At 47.8% G+C, this 11956-nt stretch overlaps 1 protein-coding gene across 1 annotated transcript in view, besides 2 other annotated features; it reads right to left on the bottom strand.

Moving 5' to 3' along the window:
- Positions 1-11956, bottom strand: part of ITGB3 (integrin subunit beta 3) — a 59917-nt gene that overhangs the window by 10687 nt on the left and 37274 nt on the right. The window contains exons 10-13 of the mRNA NM_000212.3: positions 10489-10918; positions 3527-3749; positions 2479-2579; positions 217-336 (exon numbers count right to left, since the gene is read on the bottom strand). Of these exons, the coding sequence (NP_000203.2) occupies positions 217-336; positions 2479-2579; positions 3527-3749; positions 10489-10918 (874 nt within the window). The remainder of the gene's footprint in view (positions 1-216; positions 337-2478; positions 2580-3526; positions 3750-10488; positions 10919-11956) is intronic.
- Positions 10170-10670: an enhancer, noted in NCBI's record as "H3K4me1 hESC enhancer chr17:45369753-45370253 (GRCh37/hg19 assembly coordinates)". NCBI's record gives its function as "activates a minimal SCP1, AML or CMV promoter by ChIP-STARR-seq in naive H9 embryonic stem cells {active_cell/tissue: H9 hESC(naive)}" and the evidence as "EXISTENCE:reporter gene assay evidence [ECO:0000049][PMID:30033119]".
- Positions 10909-11895: an enhancer, noted in NCBI's record as "VISTA enhancer hs2033". NCBI's record gives its function as "enhancer in: trigeminal V (ganglion, cranial)[3/4]" and the evidence as "EXISTENCE:transgenic organism evidence [ECO:0001131][PMID:17130149]".

The raw sequence follows: 11956 nt of genomic DNA, 5'->3' as shown, positions 1-11956 counted from the left end.
AGGCTGGTATTGAACTCCTGACCCCAGACGATCCACCCACCATGGCCTTCCAAACTGCTGGGATTACAGGTGTTAACCACCACACCTGGCCCCTAACTTATCACTTGCAGGCTTAACCTGTTTTGCTTAACAGCTTCGATGAGTAGAGATTCCTGCCTAACATGGTTCTCCCTCTCCCTCCTGGGGCAGGGCCGGGAGCCGTCAGGGTTCACTCACCTGGCTCTTCTACCACATACAGGATGGACTTTCCACTAGAATCTTCATAGTACTGGAATCTGACGACACAGTCATCCTCATTCTTATAGGTACAATTCACTGCATCCTTGCCAGTGTCCTCTGGGAGTAGGGAAAATGGAGGAATAAAAAGTGAGACAACTACTGGAAGATGGGACCACTCCAAACCCCTATCACAGGACTTCCAGGGAAGTATGTGACAGGAAACCCTGTGCCTCATGTGCACGATGCCTAGATTCAAGGTGGCTGTTGTGTCTGGCAGTTGCCACTCACTGACACTCACTGATGTATTTTGTACTGCATAGGCCCTTTTTGGTTCCTAATCCTTCCTCTGAAAGGGACATGATATAACAGTATTACACAATTTAATTCAAATCCTGGCTTCACTACCTACCCGTTGTGTGATCTTGGGTAAGTTACCTGACCTCATCAAGTCTTTCTTCATCTATAAAAAGAAAATGATACCCCCACCTCACAAGGTCGGTGAACTAAACAGCATAAAGTGAACAGTGCCTAACATATAGTAGGTGTACTCTTCCCTCTCTTTCCTTTCTCTGCTTGCTTAGTGATTCTTAATAGTTTGCTTATGCAGCTGTTCTATTTCTTCCATTTCTGTTTCTGATCCAGTATACCTCCCCAGAGCTATCCTCTCTTCTCTGACTCCCACCGTGTTTTGTAGACTTCATCTCTTCTAATTCTAAAGTTTGTTATTCTGCAAAGATACTAGGGGTTACCCTCCACTAGCTGCACTGTGCCCCATACTGATGAAACCAGATGAGTAAAACTGACACATGATGAAATTAAGCAAATGTACCCAGGTCACACAGCAAATGAGTGATGAAGCAGAACAAGAACAGGAGTCTCAAAGCACATCTTGCAGACTTGAACTCAACAACCCTTCAGAAAACCAGTGGTATTATAATACAGGGAAAAGAGTACGGATTTCAGGACCTAGTTCTTATCTTAATTTGCCATTCCCTTGCTTGGGCCAGTTACTTAACTTTCCTGAGACTCAAAATGAAGATGAGAATAGTACTGTAGTTCTACTTCACTAGGCTATTGACAGAAAAATAAGATAATGTATATGAAAGATACTTTATAACTTTTACAAGCTATAAAATTCCCTATAAATAAGCATTTATTTTAATATGCTTATTTCCACACTCTTTTCCCTGTACTATAATACCACAGGTAGAGGGGAGGTGGAGGTACAGAACTGCTTATCAATTAGCCTGTAATACCCACCTAGTGTAGATGGTAAAAATAATATCTCAGCAGCCTCTCCTCTCTGAACTAATCATAGCAAGCCTAATCTCCTCCAGAGGAAAAACTGTTTCTTCAAACTCAATCCCCAAATCGCTAACCTCACCCCAGCCCTACTTCTGATATTAGCCAAAAGGCCCAGAGAGCTGACTCTTTTCTATAACACGCCCACCAGGAAGCTGACTGGCTGGCTGTGTCTTACTGTGGCTCTCTCTGAAATGTGTTTCTGCCTTCATGGGAGATTGCTATCTATGGAGAGATTGCCATCTCTCTAGTACTAGAGTACCATCTCAATGCCTCGCTGGCCCACATAACTATATCAGATGTGATGACAGCAGCAAAGATCATCTCCTTTTAAGTTAAGATGAAGGACAGAGAATACTTCAAGAATAATTGCAGGCAAGATTTTTTTTCTCCCTATTGTTTGTATTTCTGTCTGTCTTATTTCAAAAGGGGCCCCAGAGAGGCAGAAGGACTTCAGATAAAGCTTTTGGTTGCCTATCCATAAGGTTGAAGGTTTCCCTCCAAACTGCAAAGCTTTAAGCAAAATCTTGGGCACTGCATAACACTTTTAGTTAAGTAAACTTGGTAAACGCTTACTAGCCTACTGAGCTAAGATGATGACTATCACAGGCAACCACTTCCCAGCTCTGTGCCTCAGTTTTTTCATCTGTAAAATGGGATACATTCTCTTCCCTTCCTTAGGGAGGCACTTGCTCCCTTTGCTTTGCAGGCTCTTGCTGAGTCTGTGGGCTCTGGGAAGCAGAAGTGGTGGATGGCTGCACACACTAGTAAGAGAGGAGGACAACTCTCAGAGACACCAGCTCACATCAAGTGTCCATTGTTCCTCAAGCCTGCACAACATTCCCTGAGGTAGAAGTCACGCTTCCATTTTACAGGTGGGAGTTGGATAGGTTCTGGGATTGAATTAGAAACATTTAGAACCTGGGTGTGTGCAACTCTAAGATGTGCTGAACTTACTAAGCTCTTTCACTGACTCAATCTCGTCACGGCAGTAACGGTTGCAGGTATTTTCGTCATGTAGGGCTCCCCGGTCAAACTTCTTACACTCCACACATTCTCTGAAGGAGAGAGGACACAGTGATTAAGGCAAAGAAGGAGCAAGCCTAAGCGTATCCCAGTCCAGCTCTGATCTCCATGCATTCAGAAAGCTGCTCCACCTCCATTAAAACACACACACACACACACACACGCGCGCGCGCGCCTGTAAGACAATCCTGGGGACCTGAATGGCAAGTGTGGAGTTCAGGGGTGGGAGTGTCCCCCTCACCTGTAGGCAGCACCTGGCAGCCAGAAGCCTCCCAGGTCCTTCATTAAACTTCCCGTCCCATCCAGGGCTGTGCCAGGATGGTGAACCCTATGCCATTTCTGAGAACTATAAAGTCAGAACCAGTCATGTCATTTGGGGGCCCAGTGCAAAATGAAAATGTCAGCTCCCTTGTTCAAAGATTACTAAGAATGTCAAGACAGTGATGGCAGAGCATTAAAACAAGCATGAGGCCCTTGTAGGCACAGGGCCCTATACAGCTGCATAGGTTGCACACTCGTAAATCTGGCCCTGCTTAAAGTGGTAAGCAGAATGGCAGTGCCATGGACTCAGGCTGATGGGGCTTCCTCTGGCCCCTAAAGTGGGAGGTTTGTAGTAGTTTCACAGAGTGTCCTCCATAATTCCAGCCCTCACATCTCCCACTGAATCAGAACATTAGCACTGGATTGTTCCTCAGACTGGTTTAGCCTTCCTCCCAGCTCAGAGGGAGTCAGGATGTCACCCTAGGAGAGGACATTCTCAATCGAAGTCCAGCTCGTTCAACTTTGGCTCCTTCACAGTTGGCTCTATTCCAACTTGCCCAAAGCCTTTGGCAAAAGGAGAGACAGCCATCTGGCTGGAGTGGACTCCTCTCCCTAAGGCTCTGGTGAGCAAGAAACACACCTGGAGAGCTGGGGATTCTAGTCAGGGGATCCTCTCCTACCTCCCAGCCTCCCGGCTCTCTCCAGACTCCACACTCACTTCTTAAAGGTGCAGGCATCTGGGCAGGTGGGGCACTTCTCACAGGTGTCCCCATAGGAGCCCGGCTGGATACAGACACAGCTGCCACATTCACACTTGCCGCGGCCGCTGCACAGCAGCCCATTGCTGGACATGCAGGTGTCAGTACGCGTGGTACAGTTGCAGTAGTAGCCGGTCCAGTCGGAGTCACACAGGCAGTCCCCACAGCTGCACTGGCCATGGCCTGAAAACACACAGCCCAGGAAGGTGGACCCGCTGGCGAGAGCTCCACTCCCATGGCAGCAGGCTACACACGACCATCCTGCTCTCCCAACCACACAGATAATGATCCTCCAGGTTGGCAGGGAATTGGCTCACCACCCAGGGGAGTCCTACCCAGCAGGGACAAACTCAGTTTTCTAGGGGTCCCAAGGTATGGCAGGACTTGCTCGGAGCCACTGTAGAGCAAAAGATTCTCAGGAACTAAGTCTCCTGGGCCTCTTGCCCTCTCTCTTGCCCTTTTCTGAATACCTCTGCCTTCTGAGAAAGGCAAGAGAAAGGGTAGGAGGCTTAGAAGACTTAGTTCCTTCTAGTCTAAGAACTAGAAGCAAGCTCTTTAGCCCTTCTAGTTTGGCTGACACAGCACAAAGCCACAGCCCTGAACCTACACAGGGCACTCAGTAGCCTTGACGGTGTGACTTGATGATGGCAAAAGGCCTCACAGGCCCCAAAACTCTCTCCCTTTGACCTGACACAGCGCTGCTCGCCTCTCCTACCTGACCTGAGAGGCCTACTACCATTGTCGTCATCGTGGCCACCCAGTTGGGTTAGACAACAACATAGGGTCCAGTTTGGAAGAGCTGGTCCCGTCCCACTAACAAAGCAGCCACCACTTCCATTTCTCAAATCAGCTAGGTGTTACCTTGCAGGATGAGAAGCAGGGCTCTGAGGGCACATGCACAAGACAGGAAAATTGTAGCATAGGGAAAGAAGGAAAGGAGAGATCCAGGGCATGGGGTTATTCCAAATGCAGAGAGGGAAAGTGCACACAGAGCACCCTGAATGTATGGGTAGATGGGGTGGGGCATCCAAGGGGCAGAGGGACGGCACTGAGAACCCATGGAGTTGGCCAACGGAGCCAAGTAAGCAGAGAGAACAAATATCCCCTACCTCCCAGACTGCCGAGGGCCAGTGCAGTTAAACAAATCCCATGAATGCCATAGAGAAAAGAAGTCAGAAAATAAGAGAAATTAAATGAAAAAAAGAGAGATTTTCCTAAGGTGAACAGCAGTAGAGACAATCACTAGTAATGACCTCACGTAGCCCGATGGCCTCCCCCATGCCCCTGTTGACTCATCCTGGTTCCTGCCTCTGCACTCAACAGGTGGAGAAATGTTTGCCACAATTCAACATTTTTTTAATTAATTAATTATTTAAAGTTACAGGCGCAGTTCAAGTTCACCAACACAACCTGTCTTTCTTGACCTGGTTCCCTTCTCAATCTGACCTCATCATATCATATCTGGGAGTGCAGTGGAACAGACTTGGAAAGCATTTAGAGAAGAGAATGTGTATCTACTTTCCAAACCAACCAAGGAGGCATTTAATATGTGTCAAGTACTGTGCCAAGTTCTTTTTCTTTTTATTTATTTGCTTTTTTTTTTTTTTTTGAGACAGAGTCTCACCCTATCACCCAGGCTACAGTGCAGTGGTGCAATCATTGCTCACTGTAACTTCAAACTCCTGGGCTCAAGTGATCTTCCCACCTTAGCCTCCTGAGTAGCTGGGACTACAGGCATGTGCCACTGCAGCTGGCTAATTATTTTTGTTTTTGTACAGATGGGAGTCTTGTTATATTGCCTAGGCTTGTGGGCTTGTGCCAAGTTCTTTCTTTTTTTTTTGAGAGTCTCACTGTCACCCAGGCTGGAGTGCAGTGGTGCCATCTTGACTCACTGTAAACCCCCACCTCCCGTGTTCAAGCGATTCTCCTGCCTCAGCCTCCCAAGTAGCCAGGACTACAGGCATGCACCACCATGCCCGGCTAATGTTTGTATTTTTAGTAGAGATGGGGTCTCACCATGTTGGCCAGCCTGACCTTGAACTCCTGACCTCAGGTGATCCATGTGCCTTGCCCTCCGAAAGAGCTGTGACTACAGGCCCGGCCAGCTGGTCCACCATGCCCAGCCGCAAGTTCTTTAGTATGTTATCCTTTTCATTTGTTATAACAACCCTTTGAGGTCAGAGAGGTTAAGTAACTTTCCCAAGGCCATATGCCTTGTAAATGGCAGGGTCAGGACTCAAACTGAAGTCACTGTGACTTCAGATCCCAAGTGCTTAGCCTCTATGCAGTGTCATAAGCAATGCTTTTCCCTATTTATACTAATATGGTCTTTCCAGAAGATGTCTCTAACTTACAGAGAAAATGGCCTTAACCAACAGAAGATGGAGCCAGTTTTAATGGAATATTCTTCAAATTGACCAGTGGAGGAAGAAAAGAGACCAAAGTAGTAAGAAAGAAGTTATGGAAAGTCCAGTAACTAGGCTTGATCTCAATGAGAAATTTCAAGGAAGGAACATTTTAGGAGTCAAATGTTCTGAACTATTTAAGCGAAGGGTGGATGGGCCTCACTGTAGATATTTCCATGCCCTGTCCTCAGCCTGGTCCTGTCTCTAGATAAGTAAGTCATCTCCCCTTCTCCAGGTGATTGTCAATTCCTCTGTGGCCAGGATTCTCTTTGTAAAATGTGATTTCTCAACCTTGGTACTTTTCAATATTTGGGGCCAGATAATTTTTTGTTGGGGAGGACTGTCCTGTACATTAGGATGTTTAGCAGCATCCTTGAGCTCCACCCTCTAGACATCAGTAGCACCTTTCCAGTTATAACAATCAAAAATATCACCAGACATTGCCAAATGTGCCCTGGGAGACAAAATAGCTCCTTCCTCCCAGTTGAGAACCACCGTTTTAAAGTATGAGTCAACTTGATCATGTAACTCACCTGCTTAAAAACCTTCAAAGGCCAAGCATGGTGGCTCATGCCTGTAACCTCAACACTCTGGGAGGCCGAGGCAGATTGATCACTTGAGCCCAGGAGTTCAAGACTAGCCTGGGCAACATAGCGAGATCCCGTCTCTACAAATTTTTAAAAAATTATCCGGGCATGATGGCAAGAGCCTGTAGTCCTAGCTACTTCGGAGACTAAGGCAGAAGGATCACTTGAGCCCAGGAGTTCAAGGCTGCAGTGAGCCATGATCATGCCACTGCACTATGGGCTGGGCATGGAAAGAAATGTCTGCTTCCCAGGAAGGATGGCGGACATAACCCAAGCTGCCCCAGCTGCCAAGTATATCTGGAAAGTAGAGATGTTGGGCTGCCAGAAGGGTGGGGAAAGCAGAAAGGCTGTGTCCCGAGGCTAGGTTCCCTAGAAGTACAGCTTGGATGAGGATCTTATTTAAGGGACTCGCTGAGGATGTAGAGAGGAGGGAGGGAAACAGGACATGGCAAGAGGCAGAGCTGGCAGGAATGTGGTCTCAGCCAGATGCCCTCCAGCCTGATCCTACGTGAATGGCACCACAAAGCCAGGCCCACCCTGAGGCGAAGAGTCTAGCCTTGAGTAACCCCTTCTCCATCAGTCATTGGCCAACATCTAGGGGCAAGACAGCTCCTGTCAGCCGAGGGCAGTTCTTCACAGAAGGGGCAGCTGTGAGCTGCTATCGGCCAACCTCACAGCAGCTGGGGGAGGAGTGCGCCAGCCAGCAGAGCTGCCCCCCCACCCGCCCCCCGGCCTTTCACTACACCCTGCATTTGGCCACGGCTCCTGGATGGGAAAGACCGACACCACAGGGGCCTGGCAGCACTCAGAGGCCTCCGCCTCCTCAGAAACTCTTGTCCCATAGTGTTTCCTTTGTGAGGCTAAACAAAGTGATCTTTGACAAGATGGGCCAGCCAGGGAGTGAGGTTGGGAGTGGAAGTGACAGGTCAGAGCCAGCAGGCTGACCCCAAGCCTTGGTAGGGTTAGCCCTTAAAAGGTAGCCACAGTGTGGTAATGTCACAGGACTGGCACCCTTCCAGCAAAAGGGAGGCTGAGTCCGGGTTCATCGGAAAGTCAGAGGAGTAAAGTAAGAAATGAAGAGTGGAAGAGGAGAAAGGGAGGGGAGCCAGAAAAGGGAGGGAGGAACGGGTGCTTAAGGTCATTGGGAACACGAGCCCCACAGCTAGACCTTCTGGGCTGATGCTCGCTCCACTCCTGTCTGTCCTGAGCCTGCCCCTCCTCTGAGATCTGTCAGACATCCCACCTCCTCCATGAAGCCACCCAGGCCTACCCTGTCCCCAGTCAAGTCTCGCTCCAGTGGACTCCTATAACATTCCCTGAGCACTCCACACTTCCTGGATCTGTCAGATTCAACCTCATGTTGGGAATTATCCTTGGTTAACTGTCTTATTCACGCCTCTCTATCCTACTCCACAACAGCACAGAATCTGGCTCACAGAAGCTGCCTGACTGATCTGTGGCTGTGGCAAGTGGAAAACTCCCTTGAGGATGATGCACTTCTTGATGTTTGAGGCAGGAATGTTGATCATGAGCAACCATGAAGACCAGGCCCAAAGTAGGGAGGGGACAACGGGGATGGCCAGGGAACCAGCCGCCATGCTTACAGGCCATGGGCTAGGGAAATGGCCGAGTCACAGAACACCTGCCTCCTGAGCCCCTGCTTATAGCAAAGAATGAAGCATAGAGCCAGCAGCTCTGGCAAGGGGCAATGGTGAGTGGGGCTTTAAGCTTGGAGAGGTCAGGGATCATGCATGACCCCTTGTTCACTCATATGGACCAAATGATGGCACAGAGCAAGTGCTCAATGATGTGCGCCCCTGAGTATCTGTCACTGGAGGATGTGATGATGGCACCACAGGGTCTAGACCTGAGGCTGGGTGGGCACCTGACACCCTAGCAAGACATGGTAGAGGGAGGCGGCAATGGCTGCCCTGGTTCCCTCATGGATTAGACTGGAATGCACTGAGGAGGAGCTGTTCTTGCACTGGTGAGAGGCAGGAACTGGGGCTTCTGACCCAGTCAGCTTTGTTTTGTGGCTTTAGTGGGGCAGCAGCCAAAAGAAACATGCTCTGGCTGGGATCCTGCCGCAGTGCCTCACACCAGACCAGGAACCATCAGGCCATGGAGGAGGACTGGGGGTGCCCCCGTGGTCCAGCCGTACTCCTCTCCTGGGACCACCCTCTCTCCCTCAGTCCCCAACCTTCTTCCCAGGGGTCTCCCACTTCAAATTTACCCATTTCCTTTGGTACTTTGAATTAGATATAAATACTTTAAATAGTAAAATGAAGTGAAACTCCTGCCTCACCCCCTAATTCAAATGGTTGCTGTTTGTGCTTTCATCTGTGTGTATCTGATCTCTTGCTCTCCCCTAATCATTCTGATAACACTTCCTTCCAAACTCTCTCTAAAATTTTGACAGCATGAGTAAAGGAAACAATGTCGTAGATAATAAAAAAAGCAGTCATTTTTATGTTACTGACATGCTTTAGAAAGACACAGATCGACCTTTCTAAGTGAGCTTTTTTAAAGGTTAATATCAGTATCGAAGTGAGTATCTGCATGGATTAGCTCAACTGATTAGAGCCCCAATGCTGGCTGGGCGCAGTGGCTCATGCCTGTAATCCCAGCACTTTGGGAGGCCGAGGTGGGAGGATCACGAGGTCAAGAGATCGAGACCATCCTGGCCAATGTGGTGAAACTCCATCTCTACTAAAAATACCAAAATTAGCTGGGCATCGTGGCGCATGCCTATAGTCCCAACTACTCGGGAGGCTGAGGCAGGAGAATTGCTTGAACTGGGAGGCAGAGGTTGCAGTGAGCCAATATCGCACCACTGCACTCCAGCCTGGCGATAGAGCAAGACTCCGTCTCAAAAAAAAAAAAGAACCCCAATGCCAATGAAGCCAATCTGAGTCAAGGGTCATCCCCAGAAAACAATTATAATCTCTCTGTTTGGCCACACAATACACCCGTAACCCAGTCCCAACCAACTTGTGTCTGTCGCAAGAGGGATTAAGCCACAGTGATTATGGCCCAGTAAAAACCCATCCTCAGTGCCCCAGGAACAACTCAAGACTATTTGCCCTCTGAGAGTGTTGCCAACATGTCTGCGGATAAAGACTACATTAACATTAGTTCAACTTCTAGCTGGGAAAGTACCCCAGGAGTGGTTCTTGGGGCAAGGAGAAACTAGTTTGAGATTATCAGTGGGCCTCAAGATTTTACTGAATTTTGCAATGAGAAGGACAACTCAGTACCCTGCTGAGTAGAAGGACTTAAAATTATAATCCCCAATCTGTCAGCAGGGACTCTCTGTGGCAGTGCTATCCAAGAGAACTTTCTATCACGTTGAAATGTTCTAGATCTGTCCAATATAGCAGCCACTAGCTACATGTGGCCACTGATGAGCTGAAGAACTGAATTTTTAATTTTTCAATTTTGGTTAATTTAAATAGCCACATGTGGCTAAAGCCTACCATATTGGATAGCAAAGATCTAGAATCCAAAAAATAACAGTAGCACCAATAGTAGTAACAGTGATTAACAAAATAGTGCTAACATTAACAAGAGCATTACACCATTTTCCAGACATTGTTCAAGCACACTCCAATGTCTTGCATATATACTACTCTTTTCCCGGTCTCTTGTGATACAAAGATAAACTCATGTAAAATTATTACTAACCTTACTACATATTCTGACATGTGTTTTCTAAGTCTATAAATGCTAAAAATTTAATTGCCATCTATCAGTAACTTTTTTTTTTAACGTGAAAAGGGGATTGGTCCTTATACTCAAAAAGATTAGGAACCACTGACTTACACCTCTGCCTGCAAAGACCCATCTCAGGCCTTCACCTATGTTTCCAGTGGTTGCAGGTATATGAGGGGGTGTGGGTTCCAGGACAGGGGGCCCTGCAGTTCTCCTCACCTGAGCACATCTCCCCCTTGTAGCGGACACAGGAGAAGTCGTCACACTCGCAGTACTTGCCCGTGATCTTGCCAAAGTCACTGCTGTGGCAGACACATTGACCACAGAGGCACTCGCCCCGCTGGCTGCAGACGGGCTGACCCTCCCGGGGGCTGCATTCGTCCTGCTGGGAAGGGCGATAGTCCTCCTCTGAGCACTCACACTGGGATCCCAGCCAGCCAGGCCCACAACGGCATACCCCACACTCAAAGGTCCCATTGCCATTGTTGCAGCGATGGCTATTAGGTTCAGCTTGGGCCTGGCAGGCACAGTCACAATCAAAGGTGACCTGGACGATCAGGCTGTCCTTGAAGCCCACGGGCTTTATGGTAAAGGACTTCTCCTTCTCCTGGGGACAGCCTCGCACCTTGGCCTCAATGCTGAAGCTCACCTGGATGGAAAGAAAGATTGTATTTAGACACAGTTGGGCCCAGTTAACACTCCAGCTCTGGAGGAAAAAAAAAGTTGTTCCCTGCCCTGCCAAGGAATACCCAAATTGGGTGTCTTATGCTTTTGCAATCTGGAGTTCCTCAGCCTTCCCTATATGAAGGTCTGCAAAGCAAAAACACAAGCACGGGAATAGTATCGTTGTGACATATCTAGCTGGATGCAGAGACATGGTTTACAGTCAATAAATAATAAAAGGCTGTTTTTTCACTCCACATATGAAATAGACCAGCTCAAACTGAACAGAACCTGTGATCATATAAACACCCTGCTTTGGCCTGATTATAATTATCAGCAAGATGCACAAAGCACTATTTTGCACCACACAATCCCACATGGTGGTCAATCATAAGCTCAGGATCTACTTCAGTTCCCACACATTTCATAGCTTATGCAATAAAGCATGTTTCAGGACAATATTTCTAACATGGGATGTTTGCACAAGTGCCTGAGAGACAGATAGGTCAATAGAAAGGATCAGCGTATCCAAAGATCTATTTTCTTCCCCTCCTTCCTCCCCTCCCACCAACCCCTCTCCCCTTAGGCAGAAGCGGAGGAGAAACGACCAATAAGGAAAGTCGTGGAGAGACTGGAGTGTTTTACATTTTAGATTTTACTTTCTTGTGTCGTTTTACAAAAGAAAGGTATTAATTACCTTGGAAAGGCTGGCGACTGGTGAGGGACTGAAGGTAAAGAAATATTTTCCTTTGCAATCAACTGTGCATACACAAACAAAGGTAACCAAATTGTAAGTTTTTCAAATTCCTGAGAGTGAAGTTCACGTAACAGAAATGGCTTACGCAACAGAAGCCTCAGAGGAAAAGATTGGTGGATCCATTACATCTAACTTAGAATGACTTTCAGGAAACGTATTTTTCTTGCCCATATTTTTTTTCTGGTGGAAGGGGGCCATTTTTAGTCACTACAAAAGGAAGAAAGGGGGTTGGGTGCCCACAGATGCTCCAGGACAAAGGCCCTGCCC

Source organism: Homo sapiens, chromosome 17 (assembly GCF_000001405.40).
Source record: "Homo sapiens chromosome 17, GRCh38.p14 Primary Assembly".
Classification (NCBI taxonomy): Eukaryota; Metazoa; Chordata; class Mammalia; order Primates; family Hominidae; genus Homo; species Homo sapiens.
Note: the sequence above shows the minus strand (reverse complement) of the source record. Positions and strands in the feature narration are given on the sequence as shown.